The sequence below is a fragment of the Homo sapiens genome, chromosome 19 (assembly GCF_000001405.40).
Source record: "Homo sapiens chromosome 19, GRCh38.p14 Primary Assembly".
Classification (NCBI taxonomy): Eukaryota; Metazoa; Chordata; class Mammalia; order Primates; family Hominidae; genus Homo; species Homo sapiens.
In genome coordinates this window covers 28,963,616-28,984,949 of record NC_000019.10, presented here as the reverse complement: position 1 = coordinate 28,984,949, position 21,334 = coordinate 28,963,616, and the positions used below count along the sequence as shown (strand labels likewise).

The 21,334-nt window shown below is 45.1% G+C and overlaps 2 long non-coding RNA genes across 2 annotated transcripts, besides 1 other annotated feature; both read right to left on the bottom strand.

The window, feature by feature from the left end:
• Nucleotides 1,033–1,534: an enhancer, noted in NCBI's record as "H3K4me1 hESC enhancer chr19:29474323-29474824 (GRCh37/hg19 assembly coordinates)". NCBI's record gives its function as "activates a minimal SCP1, AML or CMV promoter by ChIP-STARR-seq in naive H9 embryonic stem cells {active_cell/tissue: H9 hESC(naive)}" and the evidence as "EXISTENCE:reporter gene assay evidence [ECO:0000049][PMID:30033119]".
• LOC102724958 (uncharacterized) lies at nt 14,278–16,482 on the bottom strand. Its single transcript, NR_110760.1, has 4 exons — nt 15,908–16,482; nt 15,111–15,278; nt 14,683–14,749; nt 14,278–14,546 (listed from the first exon to the last, which is right to left on the bottom strand). It is a non-coding gene; the product is annotated as an uncharacterized LOC102724958 (long non-coding RNA).
• On the bottom strand, nt 15,802–19,819 carry LINC00906 (long intergenic non-protein coding RNA 906). The gene is made up of 2 exons (NR_027318.2): nt 19,595–19,819; nt 15,802–19,020 (listed from the first exon to the last, which is right to left on the bottom strand). It is a non-coding gene; the product is annotated as a long intergenic non-protein coding RNA 906 (long non-coding RNA).
• Nucleotides 19,820–21,334: the final 1,515 nt, after the last annotated feature.

Genomic DNA, 21,334 nt, shown 5'->3' with positions numbered 1-21,334 from the left:
TAGGGGTGTGGCTGGGGTAATCTATGGAATACTTGAGCATCATCCACTATTGCTGTCTCTTCCCTTTGCCTTTCTAGTTTCCTCTTCCTCTTCTCCTTTTTCTTTTTAGAATTTCCACTTTTATTTTATACTTGGCAGCTGCGTGTGCAGGTTTGTGACCTGGGTATATTGAGTGACAATGAGGTTTGGGCTCAAATGACCCCATCACCCAGGCAGTGAACATGGTACTCAATGGGCTGTTTTTCAACCCACACACCTCTCCCACCCTCCCGCTTCTAGTGGTTCCCCCGGCTATTGTTGCCATCTTTATGTGCATGTGGAACCAAGGTTTGGCTTCCACTTATAAGTGAAAACAGGTTTTCTGTTTCTGCATTAATTCGCTTAGGATAATGGTCTCCAGCTACATCCATGTTGCTGCAAGGAACCTGATTTGGTCATTTTTTACAGCTGCATAGTATTCCACAGTGTATATGTGCCACATTTTCTTTCTCCAGTCCACTGTTGACAGACACCTGGGTTGATTCCATGCCTTTGCTATTGTGAATAGTGTTGTGATCAACATACGGGTGCAGATGTCCCTTTGGTGGAACAATTGATTTTCCTTTGGGTAGATACCCAGTCATGGGATAGGTGGGCTGAATGGTAGTTCTGTTTTAAGTTCTTTGTGGGCTCTTCTTCTTCTTCAAAAGTAGAGTTAACCTGAGAATCACTCATGCCTTGTTGTGACTGTGTTGGTCAGACCTTATCCTTTGCATGGAAAGAAATTGCAGACAGCTCGGGGTGGAGGCAGATACCCATCCACACTCTCCCCCTGGGAGTCCTGGGCCTAGCTCTGTGGGGGGTCTTCACTCAGCTCCTCACCGTGGTTCCCCTGCCTCAGTGTGGGCATGGGCAGTCTTTCCCCTGCAGGGTGGGCATGCCAGCTGAGCTGTCCTGAGAGCTGTCCTCTGCTCAGATTCTGGTCTGCATCTGTGTCCTCCCAGGGGCCTGCAATGTGGGGGCCACTTGACCTGGTGGCAGAGGTCCTGACCGTCAGGAGCTGCTGTGTGACCTTGGGCAAACCCATTCTTCCCTTTCAGCTCTATTTTCTGCTCTGACCAATGTGTGGTGGGCTAGGGTGAGGTGGCCCTCATCAGGTGGCCCTCAGAGGGCCTCTGTGGGCCTAGGTAGTGCTGAGACCACACCATGGGGCCCCAGGAAATGATCTTAAGTTCCATATACTCCCAGCAGGGAGGCAGAGTGGCTTTGGGAATAAGCTGTCTTCCCACCCGGCCTGTTCTGCTCCAATAACCGCTGCGGCAATTGTCTCTAGAAAGAGGACTTCATGCATATTCATGAATCCTATCATTCTCTACATATTACCAGGGGTGGCCTGTTTTTCTGTCAAACAGCGTTTCATCAAAACAGCAAGCTCAGCTGTTCAGGTACTTTCTGAAGCCTTGGCTGGCTGGCTTGGTGTTTTGGGATAATGACGTTTAGGTGTCTGCACAGAACACCTTCCAAATGGCGGGGTTTCTGTGTTGATGTGTGGGCAGAGGCTGCAGTGCATCTGGAAATGGAAAACATTACCCGCCCAACCACGAACACAAATACCCAAAGCCTATTATACACTACCTTTCAGCTGCAGCCCTCCCACTCTGGTCCTAGCTCTCTGACCAGCTTTGGAAACATCCCTAATCCATAGAGGCCCTTCCTGTCCCGGCAGGTGCTTTACCTCCATCTCCTTCCACACACCTGTGGGCTTGTGCAGGACCAGAGGCTGGCTCTACCCGCTGAAGCTCTTTGACTCCTCTGTCCTCTCCAAAGCCTCAGTTCTCACCTGACAAAGGGGCTGGAATGTTCCATACACCCTGTAGGACTGTTGGGGTCACATGGATCCATGCTTGTGAAAGGCCTGAGTGTGCAGAGTTGGGAGCTACACTTCGGAGAAGCCCCTCTTGCTGTCCATTTCTCTCTGATAACCAGGTGAGGACCCTGCATGGCTTGATCCATTCTCTTTACTTCCTTTTAAGCCATACTGAGGAGGTTTACTTTAAACAATTTGTTGTTGGTGGTTGTTGTTGGAGACAGGGTCTCACTCTGTTGCCTGGGCTGGAATGCAGTGGTGCGATCACAACCCACCACAGCCTCCACCTCCGGGGTTCAAGTGGTCTTCCTGCCTCACCACCCCCCACCCCCCGAATAGCTGTGACTACAGGTATGCACCACCATGCACAGCTGTAGTTTGCCTTTGAAATCTTTCAGTCTTTCTGCCTCTCTCTTTCTCTACCTCCCCTTCTCTGTCCATTTTTCCTTTCTCTCCTCTTTCTTCTTTTTTTCTGCCTCCATCATCCTTCCTTTCCACATTGCTCTAGAATAAGCTGGTCCAACAGTAGATGACACAGGGGAAGCCAGGGCCTCTGGCTGTCCAGCTGGTCATCTCAGAGCACAGCCCCGATTCTTGAGACACATCCAGGGCCTGGCCCTCCCATGTATCCTCAGCCTTTAGTGAATGGGTCTGAAGTTTCTGTCTGTCCTCATCTCTCAAGAGCACAATTTCTTCTGCTCATTTTTCCTTAATGCCCCCCAAATAATATCACTCAGATAATAAACAGCTCCAGCTTTTAGGATACAGTGTCCAGAGGGCCAGGATGCAGGGGTCTTGTCCCCATCTCCAAATCCATCCTCCTCCCATCTCCTCCGTCGTCCCTTTCTCTACCCCTCTCTCTCCCCCTTTCCCTTCTTCTTGCCCCTCCTTCCCTCCTCCTCACCTGCCTTCCTCCTTCTCCTCCCTCTCCTTTCCTTCCTTCACCTCCTCCTTCCCTTCCTCCCTTCCTCCCCATCTTCTTCCTCCTCCTCTTCCTCTCCTTCCCCCTGAAGGTGCTTAACTGGCACAAAAGGCCTCTGTGTTTCCAGGCCTGGGCTCATGGTGTTTTTAATTCCAAAGTAATCAGCAGAGGCCACAGTCATCTGTGGCCTCTCTGTGCACAGTACATGAGGCAGCATTTGCTCACAGGCTGGCTGTGAGGAGCCTGTGGTCAAAAAAACCTGCACGGGGGCGGAGCGCAGAGGCTGTGTTTGCTGTTTCTGCCACACTGGCATCCTGGAGTATCCTCTCTTATGGGCTACGTGGACTTACCATTGAGGCGTTCACTTGTTCATTTGTCAAGGACCAGAGAAGTGTGTGCATCTCCTGTCCCCGTGATGGCTCCTGAGAATGGCGCGGGCTCCTCCAGTGAGGCCCGCTGCCTCACTCCCGTCTATCTCTTGGTCAAGAGTGGCCACCTTCTGGACCAGCCCTAGAACTGGCTCACCCGCCTCCTTCACCTTCCTCCCTCCTGGCTGTTAGCCAGGCAGGAGTCATTTTTCTCTCTCACTTCAGAGTATGAAGTTTTTTTTCTATAAAAGTGGCTGGAAAGGGGGGACATTATGCTATGAAATAAGCCAGGCACAGGAGGCAAATCCTGCATGGCTTCACTCATATGTGGAATCTGAGAAAGTTGACTGCATAGAAATAGAGGGCAAAACAGTGGTGACCAGAGGTGGGGCAGGTGAGGGGCGGGGTGATGGGAGACACTGATGAGACAGTGCAAAGTTTACTGCAAGAGGAAGTTTTACTGATGTATTTTGATGTGTGGAGACCACAGTTAATAAGAATGTATTATATACTTCAAAATTACTAAAAATAGATCTTTTTACACTTTCAACACAAAAATATGATAACTTGGTGATGGATATGTTAATTAGCTTGATTGAATTTTTCTACAATGTATACATAGATCAAAACATCACATTATACCCACTAAATACACACAATGATTGTCAAAAATAAATGAATAAAAAAAAATAGAAAAAATGTCCATCAATGTCAGTTTCTTTTAATAAAATTTGCAAAATTCAAAAGTATAAATAATAAAATAAAAAGTCTCCTGTTATTCTATTATACAAATCCAAACATTATTAATGTTTTAGTGTATTTCTTTATATTTAAATACCTAGCTAGATAAATAATTTTACAAAATTGGGATCACCAAAATATATGATTCTGCATCTTACTTTTTATCACATTACCTTGTTTAACAATGAAAATTTTCCTTTTAAAACTTTTTTTTGAAAACACGATTTTAATGGGTTTATGGAGATTCCACTATATTTCTAAAAAATATGGCACTATTTTTGAACATGCAGGCAGTTTTCAGTTTTCACCACTGTTAATCTCATTCAGCGAGTATTTGCTGTCTCTTCCGTGTCAGGTGCTGGAGACAGCAGTGAGGATGATGGGGTTTGATGAGATCCCATCCCCAGGGGATTCCAGACAGAAAACGGAAAGGAAATGCAGCAAACATCATTTCAGGCTGTGATCAGCGTTATGAGGAAAAGTGAGATGGATTTAGGGACTAGAGGGTGATGGAAATAGGAGCAAAAGGAAGAAGTCATTTTCACCCAGGGGCCAGGAACGTCCTTCCAGAGCAGGCGAAATCTGGTTAAATCTAGGTGTGGATTGTTGCAGGCAAGTGCAGATGCCTGAGGCAAGAATGAACTTGGCCACTGGAGGACAGTGGTGGGGCAGTGTGGTTGGTTTAGAGAGAGCCAGAGAGAGCAGAGACAGCAAGAGTCTAGGAAAGTGAGCAGTGACCACACAATCAAGGTCTTGAGGGCCAAAGTAAATAATTCAGAGTTTATTCTAAGTGTGAAGGAAGCTTGAGAGTCACAGGTTTTTAAGCAGCTTACTCTGACTGCAGATGGAGAATCTCATGACTGGGGAGGGCCGGCTGGATTGGAAGCAGGGAGGCCAGGTAGGAGCTTAGAGCACTGTTTCAGGTGCATGTCACGGATGTGAACAGTCACAGAAGAGTTGGTGAGGGGTGGCTGCATTCAGAATTGATGTTGAAGGGAGCATGATGTGGATTCACTGGTGGGTTGGAGGTAAAGTGGCAGAGCAAGAGATAACTCAGTTATAACCTGTAGGTCTTTGGTCTAAGCAATTGTGTAAACAGTGGTGCCATTTACTGAAATAGATAAGAAAGGAGAGGAAGGCTTGGGAGGGGACCAGCAGTTTAATTTGGAACCTGTTGCGTTGGGGTGCTTATTAAATATTCAAGTAGTGATGTCTACTAGACTGCTGGATAGACAAGTCTAAAACTCAGAGAAGTTGGGTCTACTAGACTGCTGGATAGACAAGTCTAAAACTCAGAGAATTTGGGTCTACTAGACTGCTGGATAGACAAGTCTAGAACTCAGAGAAGTTGGGACTGGATATGGATATCTAGAAGTCATCAAGGTGCAGATGACTTTTTCAAACTATGGGACAGTAATAGATCCCTCAGGAAGAGTGTGGCCAAAAGTAGTCCCAGGTACTACGTCCTGGGTCCCAAGTGTTTAGAGATCGGATAGAGGAGGAGTCCATGGGAGGATAGGAAGGCCTCTGAGTTAGGGGAACTCACAGCTGTGCTAGGGAAGAACATGCATTTTCTGTTTATCTTTGACCATTTCTTTAGAATAGATTCCCAGCAGTGGAATTACCAGGTCAAAGGGCGTCTGAACCCATTTAAAACTCTTGCAAAATGTTGTCACATCCTTTTCCAAAAATGTCTCATCAATTTATATTTCCATTATCAGTGCACGGTGTTGCCCATGGCAGAGAACCCTTATATCATTGCCAATTTAATAGGCTAAAACATGACACCCTGATTTTAACTTGTAATTCTTTGCCTTTCTAGTGAGCTTGAGCCTTTGTTTTCCATGCTTATTGCTCATTTATGTTGCTTGTATAATTGTCTCAATGTACTTGTCTATTGTGGTTATATAGTGTTTTTGTAATTGTGAGAGGATTTTTTTAATTTGTTAATAACTAATCCTTTCTTGTATTTCTTACAAATGGTTTTCGGTTTGCCATTTCCCTTGGAATTTTACTACAGTGTTTTCTGATACGAGGTTTTCCATTTAAACTTAATTACATGTATCCATCTTGTTCCTAATGATTTCTTCCTTTGCCATTATTGTTAAGAAAAGCCTCCCTGCCACTGTATTTTGGGAAGTGCTGGCGAGTCTATTTTTCATGCTACTTTTGCCAAATTTGGTTAATAGAATTTCTTCATAAAGTAAATGGATTTGCCTTTCATTTTCTTCTATATTCTGCTATAAATTTTATAGTATGCATTTTATATATTCCATGAAGTCCAGACAACATGCACTAATAAAGTCTCATCACCTCCAAATATTTTCCAAGGCAGTGTGCTAACAACACTTTCCCATCTCTTCCATGGCTATGGCTCCGTTCTAGGGTGCTACTTCCTCTTGAGCTATTTTTCCTAATTTATTATTTTCACTAAGTGTTCCATTTTTACATGTTGATGGAATTTATTAGCATATAACTGTGCATTATATTATCTCATAATTATAATTACTTTTATCAGCATATGTTACGTCTCTTTCCTTAGTTCCAATTTTCTTTATTTCTATTTTTTCTTAATTAGATTTGTTAAAGTTTTGTATTTTATTGGGTTCTTCAAAGGGTCAACTCTCCAACTTACTAAATCATGTTAATGTTCTTCTTTCCAAATGTGTGAGTTTCTGATTTAATCTCTGTCATTTCTCATGATTTCCACAGGCTGGTCTCACCTAACTTTCTCCACTTCTCCAACTGCCCTTTCTGTTCCTCTCAGACATGACAGGCAGCTTGCTACACTTCTTCCTCCCAGTTTTCCGGGGACAGGACTCCACTGCTTCCTGACACTTGACACTGCAGAGGAGTCTGAGGTCAGAAAGATTTCTATTTCTTTTAAACTTCTTATTTTTAAAAAATAAGAAAATCTCATTTTCTTCTTATTTCTTTTCCTGTGTAGATGTCTATGGGCATTTTCATTTTCTCTGAGATTCCAAAACATCGACTAGGTCTAGAATGACACCCGTAGCGGTGGTCACTGTCCTCTCTGCGGTCCTCCTGGTGGGCACTGAGCTGACTGCAGCCTCTTTTCTCACAGGGAAGATGAGTCCAAGGTTCCCAGCAGCTCTCTGGGAGAACTGGCCCTAGAAGGGGCGCATATTTGCCCTCCCTGGTGGAAGTAGTGGCCTTTCCTCATTCATTTTAGCTGGGGCTCCAGAGACCCTGGCAATCAGTGGATTTGAGTCTGTCTTTGGCACAGCAAAGTTTTTGATTTTGTGGATTTCAACACCGCCCCTACATCTGCCTTTTTATTTTAACCTTCTGAGTTACTTTTAAATGGGGGTTTGGACTCCTAGGTTAGTGATTTATGTCTATTATCCTTTCCCTCAGTTTCCCTGTTTTTGTTTTATTACCTCAAGGAAATCTAGCATTAAAATAACATCATTTAGATGGGGCCAGAACAGATTCCTGGGCTCACTTAACCACTGTAGCCAGAAGCCCTGGCCACAGTGACTGTGACACCAGGCCCAATCTGTGCCCTGATGTCTGCTCACCAGTAACAGGTTTTCCTAGAAGCCAGGGAATACCTAAGAATGTCAGGTAAGGCTGCAATGTTTCTTTGAACAACATAGCACATACCAGGGCTCACTTCTCTGCAGAATGTGTTCCTGGTGCTATTCTTGCCTCTTTCTCTATTTAAAAAATACTGTTATATTTTAGATGCTTGCTTGCTCCATGGGAATATTGCATACGGTGGGGACTGGACTTCCAGTGTGCCCATTTCTCTCATTTTAACTCGTCTTTGGTGATCTGGGGGTGCCTGTCTCTTCCCCTCCCCTTGTGCTGCACTCAGAGTGGCCCTATTTGACCTTCAGAGAGAGGAGTAGATGAGGACGGTGGACAGGCCAGCGGGACGGTCTACCTATGGCCTGTCTTCTTTTCTAGAATGTTAGCTTCATGCAAGCAGGAAGCTTGCCTTTTTAAATCCACTTTCTCCCCAGGCCTCAGAACACAGTGGTATTCAGTAGCGAGTTGGCCAACTGAACGCACGCAGGAACAAGGGCAGTTCCCAAGCTCTTCTCAGGGCCGAGGCTCCAGCCCTTCTGCGCCTCTCCTCGCCCCTCTCTGCCATGCCCCCTGTTCTCTCCACACTGTCTTTGGACTGTAGCGTCTCCTCCTTCCCCTCCAGGAGGGCTTCCTGTTATGAGATCTTCCTGGCACCAAGCAGAGTGTGTACCTGGCAGTGGCATGAGTGGAGCCAGCCTTCAGCCTGTTCCTAAGTAGAGAACCTGTCCCCAGAGCCCCGGTGCCTTGTCAGGAGCCAGAACACTGGGCTTTCGAGGTCTGGGGCATGGGAGCCAGGGGTGCCTTCAGTCCTCAGGAGGGTTCCTGGAGCCCTCATGCAACCCTGACTGCGCCTCTGTCCTGAACCTCCCGAGGGCAGCATCACTATTTTATTTTCATGACATTTCACACCCCAGTGAGTTGCAAATGTGTGCTTTTCACATTGGATGGAATTCTTACAATTTTGGTGAATTGTGCATTCACAGGAAGTACAATTAAAATCAGCCTCCTGTGTATCCTCCATCACCCAGGCATATGAGAGTAGGTGGCAGAAGTTCAGAGTGTCTCCATCTCAGGTAAAGCACTCTGGAGCCTGGCTCTTCGTGCTTAGATCTCACGCTGCCACTTGTTAGTTGTGTAATCTTGGATAAATACAAAATCTCTCTGCACCTTCATTTTTCCATAAGCCACAGCAGGATAAAAATAACACCTGCTTCATAGGGTTATTGGGAGAAGTACGTGAATTAGTTTATGTGAGGTGCTGAGAACAGCGCGAGGCATGGAGTACCTGCGACGCAACGATTAATGTGGTTCTGACTGTCCTCTCTAGAGAGATGTGGGCCTGCACCTTAGAGACTTGCAGACCTGGACTGCCATTATCAACTAAAGCCACACACACACACACACACACATGCAGAAACACACCCATGCACACACATACATGCATGCACAGACACACGCATGCACAGACACACAAACCCCTACACACCATGGGCGATTTTCTCCCTCATTTCCAAGGGGGGTAAGCGTGAATACTTGCTCCGACCTTAAGAGTGGGGTTGAGGGCCCAGGTGGAGCAGGCTTGTGGCTTGAAGGATGAGACCCCAGATGGCTATGCATAGTGGGCATTCCCCATGGTGGGCATTCCTGCTGCAGAGCCTGGAGTAAGTGCCCTGCTTGCCCCATTAGGGTATCCTAGCAGCTTGCGCTGCTCCTGGTGCAGAATGAACAGGCTGAGCAGCTGCAGAGAACACCTCCTCCTCCTGGCCTCGGGCCTTTTCCAACACGTGCAGGTTTGCTTGGGGTCTGCCTCCAATGCCTTGAGTGTCACTGTTTTGTTTTAGTGGTGATGCCTGCTCTTGGAAGCCCACTTGGGCCTAACTTTGGAAACAATCCTCTGGTTGTACTCAGCTCACAGAGCTGTTTCTCAAACACGACTTCACCTAGGCTTGATCAAATACCAGCTTCACCACTTCCTAAACCTAATCCTCTGCAGGTCCTGGTAGCTTTGTTCATAGAGCAGTTCTTTGGATTGAACCAGAAAATGTATACAAATAATTTCACACCGTGTCTGGCATCTGGTGTATGCTGAATACAAGTTGGTTGCTTCTGGGGATCCTCGATCCAACCCCAGGAAGTCTAGAAATGATTCTCCCTGATTTAAAGGTGTCATAGAGACTCCTCAGAGTAGAGAGGGCTGGAATCTGGGTCTCTAGTTCACTGTTCCCTCCTTTCACAGGATTCCCTTGCTGTTCAGGAACGTAATGTCTATATGAATATCGTTGCCAGAATTGTCTCAGGCCATAGATATATCTTCACTTTCCGTGTTGAGTCCTTTGGAGGCCATCGGGGAGCTGCTGTTCCCCTTCAGCGTGGCTGCCTGCTCAGGGAGGTCTTGGCTTCCGCAGGGTGGACCAGCTTGCACTGCTCTATGGGTGCGCAGTCCCTGGAACGCCCTTTCTGTGTGGATGTAAGTGATGCATAAAGATCTAAAATCCCAAATCTTAGGCTTTCTCCAGGATTTCTGCTGCAATCCCAGAACAGCAGCTCTGGAGTCGCTCTGAATTAAATACACAATTTATTTTCAGATCTCTTTTATCATGAGGGCTCACATGCAGCTAACGCATTCGTCTGTGTTTGAGGCTGCAGTACGGTACATAGACCCACCGCTGGCAGAACCCATTCCTTCCTGTGGAGGTCACCCACATGTTATTTAAGTGCAGTACTTTGGATCACACAAAATAAAAACCTGTACTGTTGTGCTCCTATTAAGCACCCATTATGTAATCTCTGAGTCACCTGGAGATGGTTTTTAAATATAGTTTGCATGTTTACTGTTTGTGAAGTACCCATGCTAAGAGCTTTGCATGTCTTCTTCCATGTAACACAGCAACCTAAGGAGGCAGGAACTACTGTTATTCCTGTTTAATGCATGGAAAGCTATTGTCCACAGAGTGGGGAAGCGATGCCAGCAAGATCACATAGCTGGCACCCATGGGATTAAGCCAGGGCTCAACTCCACCAGACATAATGACTTTGCTCTCAACTGCCACATTTTATTGCCTTTCTTGATGGTTACTTTGGGTCTTAATTTGCATTTTTCTGATAACTAATTTTGAGTTTTTTAATATATTTATCCTCTTCTGTGACCTACAATTTAAAAATGTTTCTCCTTATTGATTTTTATTAGGATATATTAAATAATCATCCCTTATTGGAGTGTTGCAAATACCTTCTCTAGTTCATAGCTTGCTTTTCAGTTTCTTTATGGTATCATTTGATAAACAGAAGCTCTTAATTATGAGGTCTTAATCACGATCAATTTTTTAGTGGTTAGCAGTTTTTATGTCTTGTTTAAAACATCCTTCCCTACTCCAAGCTCATAAATATATGCTCCTAAACATTTTAGGCTTTGGGTTTTTACACTGAACTTTTTAATCTATCAAGAAATGGTTTGTATGTATGGCAAGAGGTAGCAATCTGACATTATAGTTTTTTATCTCGGTGATCAACTGTCTCATTGCCATTTACTGGCTCTTTCACTTGACTTAGTTGAGTTCCTCAAAAAGGAGAGCCCCAGAAAATGCCTTGGGTGCAGGTTGCTTATTTGAGGGTGACTGCAGGAAATGAGAGTGAGGGTATAAGGACAGTGAGACAGGGAAGGCAGATGAATTAAGTTGCTGCCATGGACAGCAGGGGTTCAAGTCCACCAGGACCCACCAAGACATGGACAGGATGTCTTCCAGAATTCTCCACCTGAAAGATGGAAGGCAGGGTGGTTTATCCACCATCTGCTACTGCCTATCCCCAGCGTTGATAAGCCCATAACTCTGGGCTGTCTTAGTGCAGACCTAGAGGTGTCTCATGAAATCAGACAGGGCCCCATAGCAGAAAGTGGAATGACCCCGAGGTGGGACAGCACCAGAGCCAGGGGCAGGAGCTGGCATGGACCTCAGATGAGAGGAGAGCTGGAAGGCGATGTGGCCCAGGGTGCCAGGTGGTCAGCTATGCTCTCCCAGGACCATTGTCTTCATCTTACAGAGTAAATGCAAGTGGTCCTGCCAGAGCCTGGCCCAGAAGTTTTCTGCCTTGCTCTGTGCCTCGGGAGGTGACCTGGAGGGATGACCCAGATGGCTTTCTTGCTTCTGCTCCCTCAGCTCCCGGGGGGGCCCTTGGGAGGAGGGCAGAAGGAGAGACGAGGGAGACAGGGCCTTCATTCCTCCTGCGTCCTCCCTGCAGGGCCACCTCGGGCTGCCTGAGTCCCTCCTCTTGAGGCAGCTTCCTCCTTCTGAGCGCCTGGAATCATGTGCTCCCTCCTCCCTCTGGTGTCACTGTTCCACCGAAATCTTTGCAAATTGTCAGGTTATTGAATCCTCTGATGTCCATGCGCCACCTGTTCATTCGGGGATTTTGAGTGATAGAAGCAACTCAGTCCATTCACATCCACCAAGACCACTGCGGTCTCCCTGAAATGTTGGTGAGCAAAGGAGCTCAATTTCTCCATGCCCTCCCCCGGCCCCAGCTCTGTGACTGCTCATTGCTCAGGACTGTGGAAGGGACGGGGCACAGGTGTGCAGCTTCTGCCTTCAGGAGCCTTCCAGTGTGGTGAGTGAGATGAATGAGAAGGGGAACGAGGCCCTCTGGAAGGACAGCGAGAGTGCTCAGAGCACATTGGAGCTTTGTCCCACACCAGAGTCTTCTTAGGTTCCTCTAGAGACCCCGCCTGGGCCTTCTGGGGCTGCCTCCCACATCTTGCCTTTCCTCTCTTCTCCATCCTGGCTAGAGTTGGGTTTTTCCCTCATTCTCTTTCATGTCGCAGTACCAGAGGTTTCTGCTGACTGATGTCTCTTTTATAGATGTTCATAAGACTGAAAAGCAGGCTTCAGATGTATACATCTCATATTGACAAGAGAGTGAGTGAGGACAATGGGGAAATTCATGGTCTTTTAACCAAACATAGGGATTTTGTGATTGTGTGGTTTTTTTTTTTTTTTTTGCCTTTTTCTTCTGAATTCTGCAAAAGCTGTTATACTAATAGCTGTGATTTGCATAATTTCTGTAGTGCAGCAGAATAAAAAGCCAGGCTTGCAGGCAGACAGTCTGGCTCTGCTGGTGGAGGTCAGGGCCTTGTATTAGGGGAGAGACAAATCAACATACAGCCCCTGGGTGCTTGCCAGGGTGAGGGGGCATGGCTGGGATGGGTGTGGTGAGTCAGAAGGTGGCTTCCAAGCCCTCTCCTGTGACAGTGTCTAACTCAGGGACTGACACTCAGGGAGAGGGCTGGGGGAAGGGCATTCCTCAGCCTGTCCTGGACTCCAGGCCCAGGTCAACCCCTCCACGGTAGCTGGTGCTCCGTGTGGAGCTGCAGAGACATTGGCTGTCCTGGGTAAGGGCAAGGGCTCTCTGATTTGGGATCTCCCTGCTGAAGGGGTTCTTTGGAGAAATCAATCATTGTCAAGTCTAGGCTATACTTCATGACAGACTCACACAATTGTGAGACTCACATAATTAGCCTTCAATGGGCTAAATGTTGCACCACAAAGGGCATCTGTGTGGTATCCAGGTAAACAAATGGGCTTTAGAGTTAAAAAGAGAAGGGTCCCCATGCACGAGGCTAAGTGAGTGACTTTAGCTTAAGAATAAAAATAATATGGCAGCATGCAGTGGCTCACGCATGTAATCCCAGCACTTTGAGAGGCTGAGGCAGGAAGATCATTTGAGGCTAGGAGTTTGAGACCAGCCTGGGCAATGTAGTCAGACCCTATCTCTACAAAAAATTAAAAAAGAAAAAAAATTAGCTGAGCTTAGTGGCATGTGCTTGTAGTCCCAGCCCCTCAGGACTCTGGGGTAGGAGGATCACTTGAGCCAGGAGTTAGAGGCTGCACTGAGCACTGCACACTGCCTTGTGCCACTGACTCCAACTGGGGCAACAGAGTGGGACCCTGTCTCATAAATAAATAAGTAAATAATAACAGAATGAAGGCCATGTGGCTTCATGAGGATCTTGTGAATGTGTGAGATCATATGGTGTGTGTGCTAACTACATAGTTGCTATTGTTACATTTCATTCTCATGGGCTTCCTTTGCCAATCTTTTACTTCAGAGTTTGTGTTAAGGGGTCTGGGTTGGGTTAAATTTATCAGTGTCTTCTGAAGGACAAGAGTCATGGTTACAGATGTTTTCTGACAATTCCAAATTTTATGAATTCCCCACTTAAAAGTCTTGTTCGTGCCCCCTGCTGCCTCCCTCTCTTCTGAGGGCTAAAGGCCTCTTGTTGGAGGCAGGCCAGCAATGACAAGTTCGTCAAGGCTACAGCTGCAGAGGCTCATAGGAGGAGCCCAGGGCCTCTCAAGACGCGGTGGCCACAGAGTTCTGGAGTGTAATTAACAGGACAGCAGCCGTGGAGACTTGGGCTGACTGAATGCTGGTGTCGAAGGACACCCTCCCTTTACCCCACTCTGTGCCAGTGTGCCTCTTATTTCTCCCTGAGCTACAACTGTTATTAACGTTCAGATTTTGGAGATAATGGTTTTAATTAAACTACTTTGCCGTTTACTACTGTTTTGGGAATTTGCTAATTAATCTTTATGTAATTGTTTTTGCAATGGTTATACAGCAAAAGTTCTTAAATTATAAGTTAAGCCTCTTGCAGAGAATCTAATTTTTAATCAGAATCCCATGTTAGTAAGTGACAGTGGGGATGGGGAATTAACTAATTGAAGTCCCTGCTCCATGGAGGTTGTCTGTTTTCAACCCGGCAAGTTGGCCATGCTGTGCAGAGCCCTCTCCCTGCATCTCCCCATGGTCTCTGCATTACGATGGTGCTGAAGGAACCATGGATGTTCATGTATTAGGATAATAATTCTGATGCTTTATTTGTAGGGGATATGTCTCTAAAAGGGCTGTTCCTCACAGATGTCTCAGGCCACCTTCAATTAAACCCAAGCCTCTTCCTCTTCTACTGAAGCCCCTGTGAGTAAAGTCCGTGGAAATCATATCTGTTGAATTTTGGAGAAGGGTAGTAAAGTGTTGAAAGGTGTTTCAGGCTATCTCACAATATTTGATATGGAAGAAGAAGCATTTCTAATGGAAACTGGAGGGAATTGCTCTTCAACTCCTAAAATAAGAACAAGAGACTTCAAGTACATCTGGAGCTTGTTTCCCTACTGTCTTACTATCTTAGCCTGTTTATGCTGCTATAACAGGATACCAGAGACTAGGTAATTTACAAAGGAAAAATTTAATTGGCTCACAGTTCTAGAGGCTGGGCAGTCCGAGATCAAGGGGCTGCATCTGGTGGCAGCTTTCTTGCTGCATCACCTGTGGCAGAAGGCAAGAGGGCGAAAGACGGAGAAAAAGCAAGAGATGGAACTCACAGCCTCAGGTCCTTTTATAATGGACATTAATCCATTCAAGAGTGTGGAGCCCCCATAACCTAGACACCTCCCATTAAGCCCCACCTCCTGACACTGTTGAGTTGGGGATTACATTTCTAATACATGCTTTGTGGGAAACACATTCAGACCATCACATCTGCCTAGGCCAGTGTCCATCTCTCTCTGATTCAGGGTTCTGATCCCAAGACTCATGGAAGAGCCAAACTACAGATTAGACAGAACAGTCTAATCTCCCTCCTGGTATTAGCCCCCAGGAACAGGCATGTAATCTCAGCAATGCTCACCTCTGCCTGAAAGGTAGGACTAGCAGAGAACTCCACCAAGCAGTACAGTGCTCAGGTTAGAAGCATGAAATTCGAAACCAGACTTCCTGGGCTCCAGGCCTGACTCTGCCACTCTTAGCTCTGTGACCTTTGATGAGTTACCCAACTTCTCTGGGCCTGTTTCTTCCTCTGTAAAATAAGGGTTTGTAAGAGTGCATGTCTTATAGTACTGTTATAATAAGCAAATGGGATGAAACAAGAAAGTCTTAGTACACTGCCTGGCACACAGTCATGCATATTATTATAATCCATTAAGCAATTTTATCCATGTTTTTATTTTCAACTTCTACCATACTGCATGCTGGGTCTCACAGATGGATTGCCTAATTTGCTTATAGCTATAATCTTCTCACCACCAAATATTTCTTTCCTATTGTGCTTTTCTATGTTGGGAGATAGTCTGATTTTGCTTCATCTGTGATCTCAAGTATGTTTAGGGGACTGCTGACTTTAAGCAAACATTTGCCGTAAAAGGATAGTTCAGGGGTGGCAGGTACTAAGTATCTTTTCTTATACCTGTGGAAGAACTCACTCACGCACCACAGCACTCTTGTTCACCAGGTGTGAGTCCAGCCTGAACTCCTTCTCAATACAATGCCTCAGCATTCAAGAGTCAGAGTCTTAACCCAGGAAACAGAGCCCCAAGCAGAGCGGACATGCTAATGCTTTATTGGGAGGTGCAATCCCAACAACCAAAGTAAGGGACATAGGGAAATAAAGCAGGAAGGAGAGAAAGCAAATACAAGGTCATATGTTACCAGGATGGCCACAGTTTCTCCAGAGCTCCAGCTGGTTGCTCAAGTCATGTGGGACATCTCCAGGAAGACATGTGAAACACTGTGGCTCAGAACAGTCTGTCATAGGGGAGGAAGGCCAGATGATTTATCTGCTGGCTTTTTTCCATTCTCTGTCTCCTACTGGTCAAAGTTCATGTTACGGACCATCAATGCCTTGCATGACCAGGTTGTGTTAATTGTGCTAACCAGCCTCCCTGTCCCAGGACAGCCATTGAGGAGGCCAAAGCCTCTATGAATCCAGTGGAGTTAAGCTAGGGGCACAAAAACTGTTTTCGGTCCCAGCACAGCAAGTGCAGTGGGAGCCATGCAAGCCTGGCAGACTCCCCAGGGGAGGCTGAGCGCACTTGGGTGGCAAAGAGTCAGGCCACAAGCAGTGGTGCATCTACAGGAATTTAGCCAAAGTTCCAGAAACTGTAATTGCTGAGTAGAGCTGGTGGCTCATAGACTGGCTTCTGTGAAATTGGCATGTGGCACAAAACCAATCTTGGCATCCAATGTTTCATTGAGAAATATCCCAGGAGGCTGGACGTGGTGGCTCACATTGTAATCCCAGCACATTGGGAGGCCAAGGTGGGAGGATTGCTTTAGGCCAAAAGTTTGAGACCAACCTGGGCAACATAGTGAGACCCTATCTTGATAAAAATAAATGAAAATTTAAATAAAAAAATTTAAAAAAGAGAATAGCCCAGGGGCTTTGGTCTTCAAAGTCTTTGTCCCATCTCTTTATTATTTCCATCTCTTTTCCCTAGTTCCTTAACTTTTTGCTAAAGTGCAGGGACCACCCCTGCTTAGGGTATGAGATATTCATTAACCTCTTATCCCAGACCCTAGAGGCCCATGATGGGACCACATGGGAGAGGAACAGGGTGGCCACTGGTTTCAAACTGAGACACCCTGACGTCAGCTTCTGTGTCCTCTCTGCTGTACTATATTCCTCTCTTCATCTCTCATGATCTTCTTCCACCTGTTGAGGTTGTATCTCATATCAAGCGTCTCACCTAATGGTCTCTGCCCACACTATCTTTTTTCAGCTCCCAGCAAAGACAACACTTTGTGCTGAGATGTGTTTGGAAAACAACTCCACTCCTCTTTGTCTGGCAAACTCCTGCTCATCCTGCCAGTCTTAGCTTCAGAAAGACCAGCCCAGACCCCACCATATAAGTCTCTGTTGTCCATCACATCGTATCATCTTTCTTCATCTGTAGGAGAATATTTATTGGAGTGATTACCGAATTCACATCTGTGTCCTCCACCAAGCTGTATGACCCCAGGAAGGCAGGGAATATGATTATTCTCTGCACCACTGTGTCACTGGCTCCTGCCCTCTGGTTCATAATAAATGTCACACCCACCCACACACATGCACACTCACAATAAAAGAATTAGTGAACAAATAGGTGAACACCTGGATCTCTCTAACTTTTTGATCCTTTGTCTCCATAAGCCTGGAGGCTGACAAGCTAATAATTCCTACAGCAAGTGCGGGGCTGCTATCATTTTCTCTAACAGTTGTCCTGATGGCCTTTCAGAAAGTAATTGACTTTAATTATGCCCTAAACTGACCCTTTGAGTAGAACTGAAGAATAACTGAAGAGAGAAAAATGATTCGGAATGGTCCTGTTGGGTCCAATTATCAGTAGAGAAAGGGAGTGAGGATGAGGCCTGGATAAACCTGGGCTCCCCGGCGTGAACCACACTGTCTGCTCATTACGTGTTCCCTGCAGCCTGTCTGGGCTTTTGGGAAACTCATCTGTCTATTATTCATGCCCATTTATCTTCCCTGACAGAGGTGGCAGCAATAGGCTCCGAGTTGTGAAAACATAGTTGAAATTCCAGGCCCACAAGATTAAGTGTCAACAATAGCTGTTATTCCTCTACCAGTGCCAAAATCTACACTTCTCCGGGTTTGGGACAGCAGGTGTTGTTTGAGTAGCCCTGACCCCAGGGCCAGAGGGCAAGGAGATAGTTGTCAAAGTTCTCTGCCTCTGATCTTATTATAAAGTGTGATCTGGTCAGAGTTCTTTGCCTCTGATCTTATTATAAAGTGTGATCTGGTCAAAGTTCTCTGCCTCTGATCTTATTACAAAGTGTGATCTGCCTGTAGAGAATGAGGAAGAGGTTACCATGGACCTCAAGGGACCCAGCGGAAAAAACCATGTGCAGAAACCGAACCACCTCCTTGGCTGTCAGATGGCAGAGTCCCTATTGCATAGAGCTGTAATTAGGGCCTGAAGAAGAGGCTATGTAGGCCTCCTGGTGAGCCAGTTGTCCCTGGCCAGTTGACCCTGGGCACAGAAGTTTATGGGGAGCACAGATTGGTATCCATAAGGGATGGTGCACCTATCTAAAACTTCAGAACGTTGATGTTTTCTTCACTTTCTGTCTACTGGGGCTCCATGCACCCAGCTCGGTTTGTTTTGCAAAGAGCAATCTGTTCTTTTCTCTTAAAACTTCTGGGATCTGTTGGCAAGCTTGCCATATTCTCTCTTCATCCCTCTGTTCGAAGAAGCCTCAAGAGTTGACTCAGATACCTTGAGCTCTTTGCTGTGAGCATCAGAAGATCCAGAGAGATCTACTCTCCTTGTTCTTCTTTCAAAACCCACCTTCCTTTTGAACTCAAATAAAGCAGGGCTGTGTACATCCCCTTGTATAATTCTCAGAGGTGTCCAGGGTGATTTTTTTTTGTTTTTTAACAGTGGGAACACTGACACCCTTCTTTTTTGTCTCCAACTGGGTGGGCTATTGCTTGCTACTTGCACTCCTTAGTTAAGAAAAATCTCTCTACAGCAAACCCTCAGGAGAATATCTTAAACCTCTGGTAAAATCTCTGGAAAGTTTGGAATAGGTGAGCAGATACAAGGACTGTACAGAAACATCCTGTCTTCACAGAGTCCTTTTCAATCATATCTTCCTTTACATTCACTGGAAATGTTTATAATTTAGGATGAGCAATAAATGGAGCATAATGCATCTCTCTGCTTGTGAGAATGAATTTCGTGCCTACTGAGGGTTCTTCGGCCAATAAAATCTTCAACGAAATGAGGGTGAAAAGACTCATAAATGTGTTCTGTGTCCTGCAGGGAGAGGGATGTACATTGTCATTTTTATGCCATGCATAAAAAGCTCCAAGCTCCCCAAGTTATATGAGATATTATTTTTGCAGAGGCCAATATGGGGAATATTAAATTACTTTGTTTATGTTTCCTAAAATAAAAATTTTACTACAGATTTCAAATATGTGCAAAAGTAGAGAGAATAGTATAGTGACCCCCCATGTTCTCATCACCCAGCTTCAACAATTATGGATGAATGGCCAATTCAGATTTTTATAATTTGATCTATAAATATTTCAGTATGTATCTATACAAATGTTTTTGTACAATTGTACAAAATGTACAATGTACAAACGTACAAATGTACAAATGAGGTACAAATACCTGATTTTAAAAAGTTATACCCACAATACAATTTTTTACACCTAAAATATTAATAATTCCTTAATAACATCAAACATGGGGTCAGTGTTCACATTTTCCCAATTGTCATATGGCTGCTCTTAAAATTTTTACAGTTTGTTTGAACCTGGGGCCAAAACAGACCCACTCATTGTAATTGATGGGTATAACTCTTATGTTTCTTTTAATTTACCTTCTCCCTCTGTATTTTTTCTTTCTGGCAGTTTTTTTTTTTCGATGTTGTTGTTTTTGAAGAATCTAGACCTTTTGTCCTGGAGAGTGTCCAACAATCTGAATTTCGTGAATTTTGCCCCACGGAGACATTTCCCGTGCTCATCTATCCCCTACATTTTCTCTATATCCATAAGCCAGTCCAGATGCTTGATCAGGTCCAGGTTTAATATTTTGTGACAAGACTGCTTTAGAGGTGGTGCTGTGTGAGTTTCATAAGGCCTTATTGTGTGATGTTAACAGCCATCAATGATTACATCATAATCTGTCACCTCACAGAAGGTTCCAAATGGGGATAGTCTAGTCTCATCGCACCTTCTTCATTTGTCAGCTGGAATATGCTCATAAAACGAAACTTTCCCCTATCAGTTTTGTGGTTCCACTGAGAAAGTGTGCCTATAGGGAAGGTATTACACATGCTTTGGTTTTCCCCTTTATGTGCAAGGCTTTTTTTAATTAAATTTTTAATTTCAAGATAATTGTAGATTCACATGAAGTTTTAGAAAATAAATACAGAAAGGTCCTGTGCACCCTTTACCCTGCTTACGCCCCATGGTACCACATTACAAAGCCATAGTACAATACACAGCCAGGAAGCTGACATTAGCACAGCCAAGATTCCAAACACGTCCATTAACACAAGGCTCCCCCCTGCTGCCCTTTCATAGCCACACTTCCCTGACTCCTGCCCACAAGTCCCCAATCCCTGGCAACCACCAATCTGTTCTCCATTTCTATAATTTTGTCATTTTATGAATATGGAACAAAAGGAATTATATAGTCTATGACCTTTAGGGATTGGCTTTTCTCACTTAGCAGAATTACCTGGAGATTCATCCAAGTTACTGCATTTGTCAATAATTCATTTCTTGTTATTGGTGAGTAGGATTTCATGGTATGGATGTACCATCATGTGCTAATAATCTGTTCACCCATTGAAGATCATCTGATTGTAGGTTTTTTAATGTGCTTACTTGCTGTTTATTATATTACTTAGTAAAGTATCTATTCAAATCCATTGCTCATTAAAAAAAAATTAGAGTTTGGCTGGGCACGGTGGCTCACACCTGTAATCCCAGCACTATGAGAGGCCGCGGCAGGTGGATCACCTGAGCACAGGAGTTTGAGACCAGCCCAGGCAACATGGCAAAACCCTGTCTCTACTAAAAGCACAAAAATTAGCCAGGCGTGGTGGCATGTGTCTGTAGTCCCAGCTCCTTAGGAGGCTGAAGGAGGATAATTGCTTGAACCCAGGAGGCAGAGGTTTCAGTGAGCTGAGATCATGAGATCGCACCACTGCACTCCAGCCTAGGAGATGGAGCAAGACCTCATCTCAAAAAAAAAAAAAAAAAAAAATCAAAGTTAAATCAAAGTTTTTTTTTTTAAATTGAGTTTTAAGAGTTCTTCATATATTCTTAAGGCAAGTTCCTTATCAAATGAACGTTTAAAGAATATTTTCTCCTGAACTGGGTCTTTCCTTTTAATTTTCTTCATGGTGTTGAAGGTGGAAAAACTCAAGCTGTTTCTCCTCTGCTGTCATTCCACACAATAATCAACACAGAAGATTTCTGTGACCAAACGTGTGGGAATTTCTCCCCACCAGTGAGCAAGTAATCAAGCCTGCAGTGGACAGGAGCTGGGCCTCCTCCCATTCAACACTGTTTACCTAGAGACAGTTTAGATCTCATGGGTTAAGAGCTCA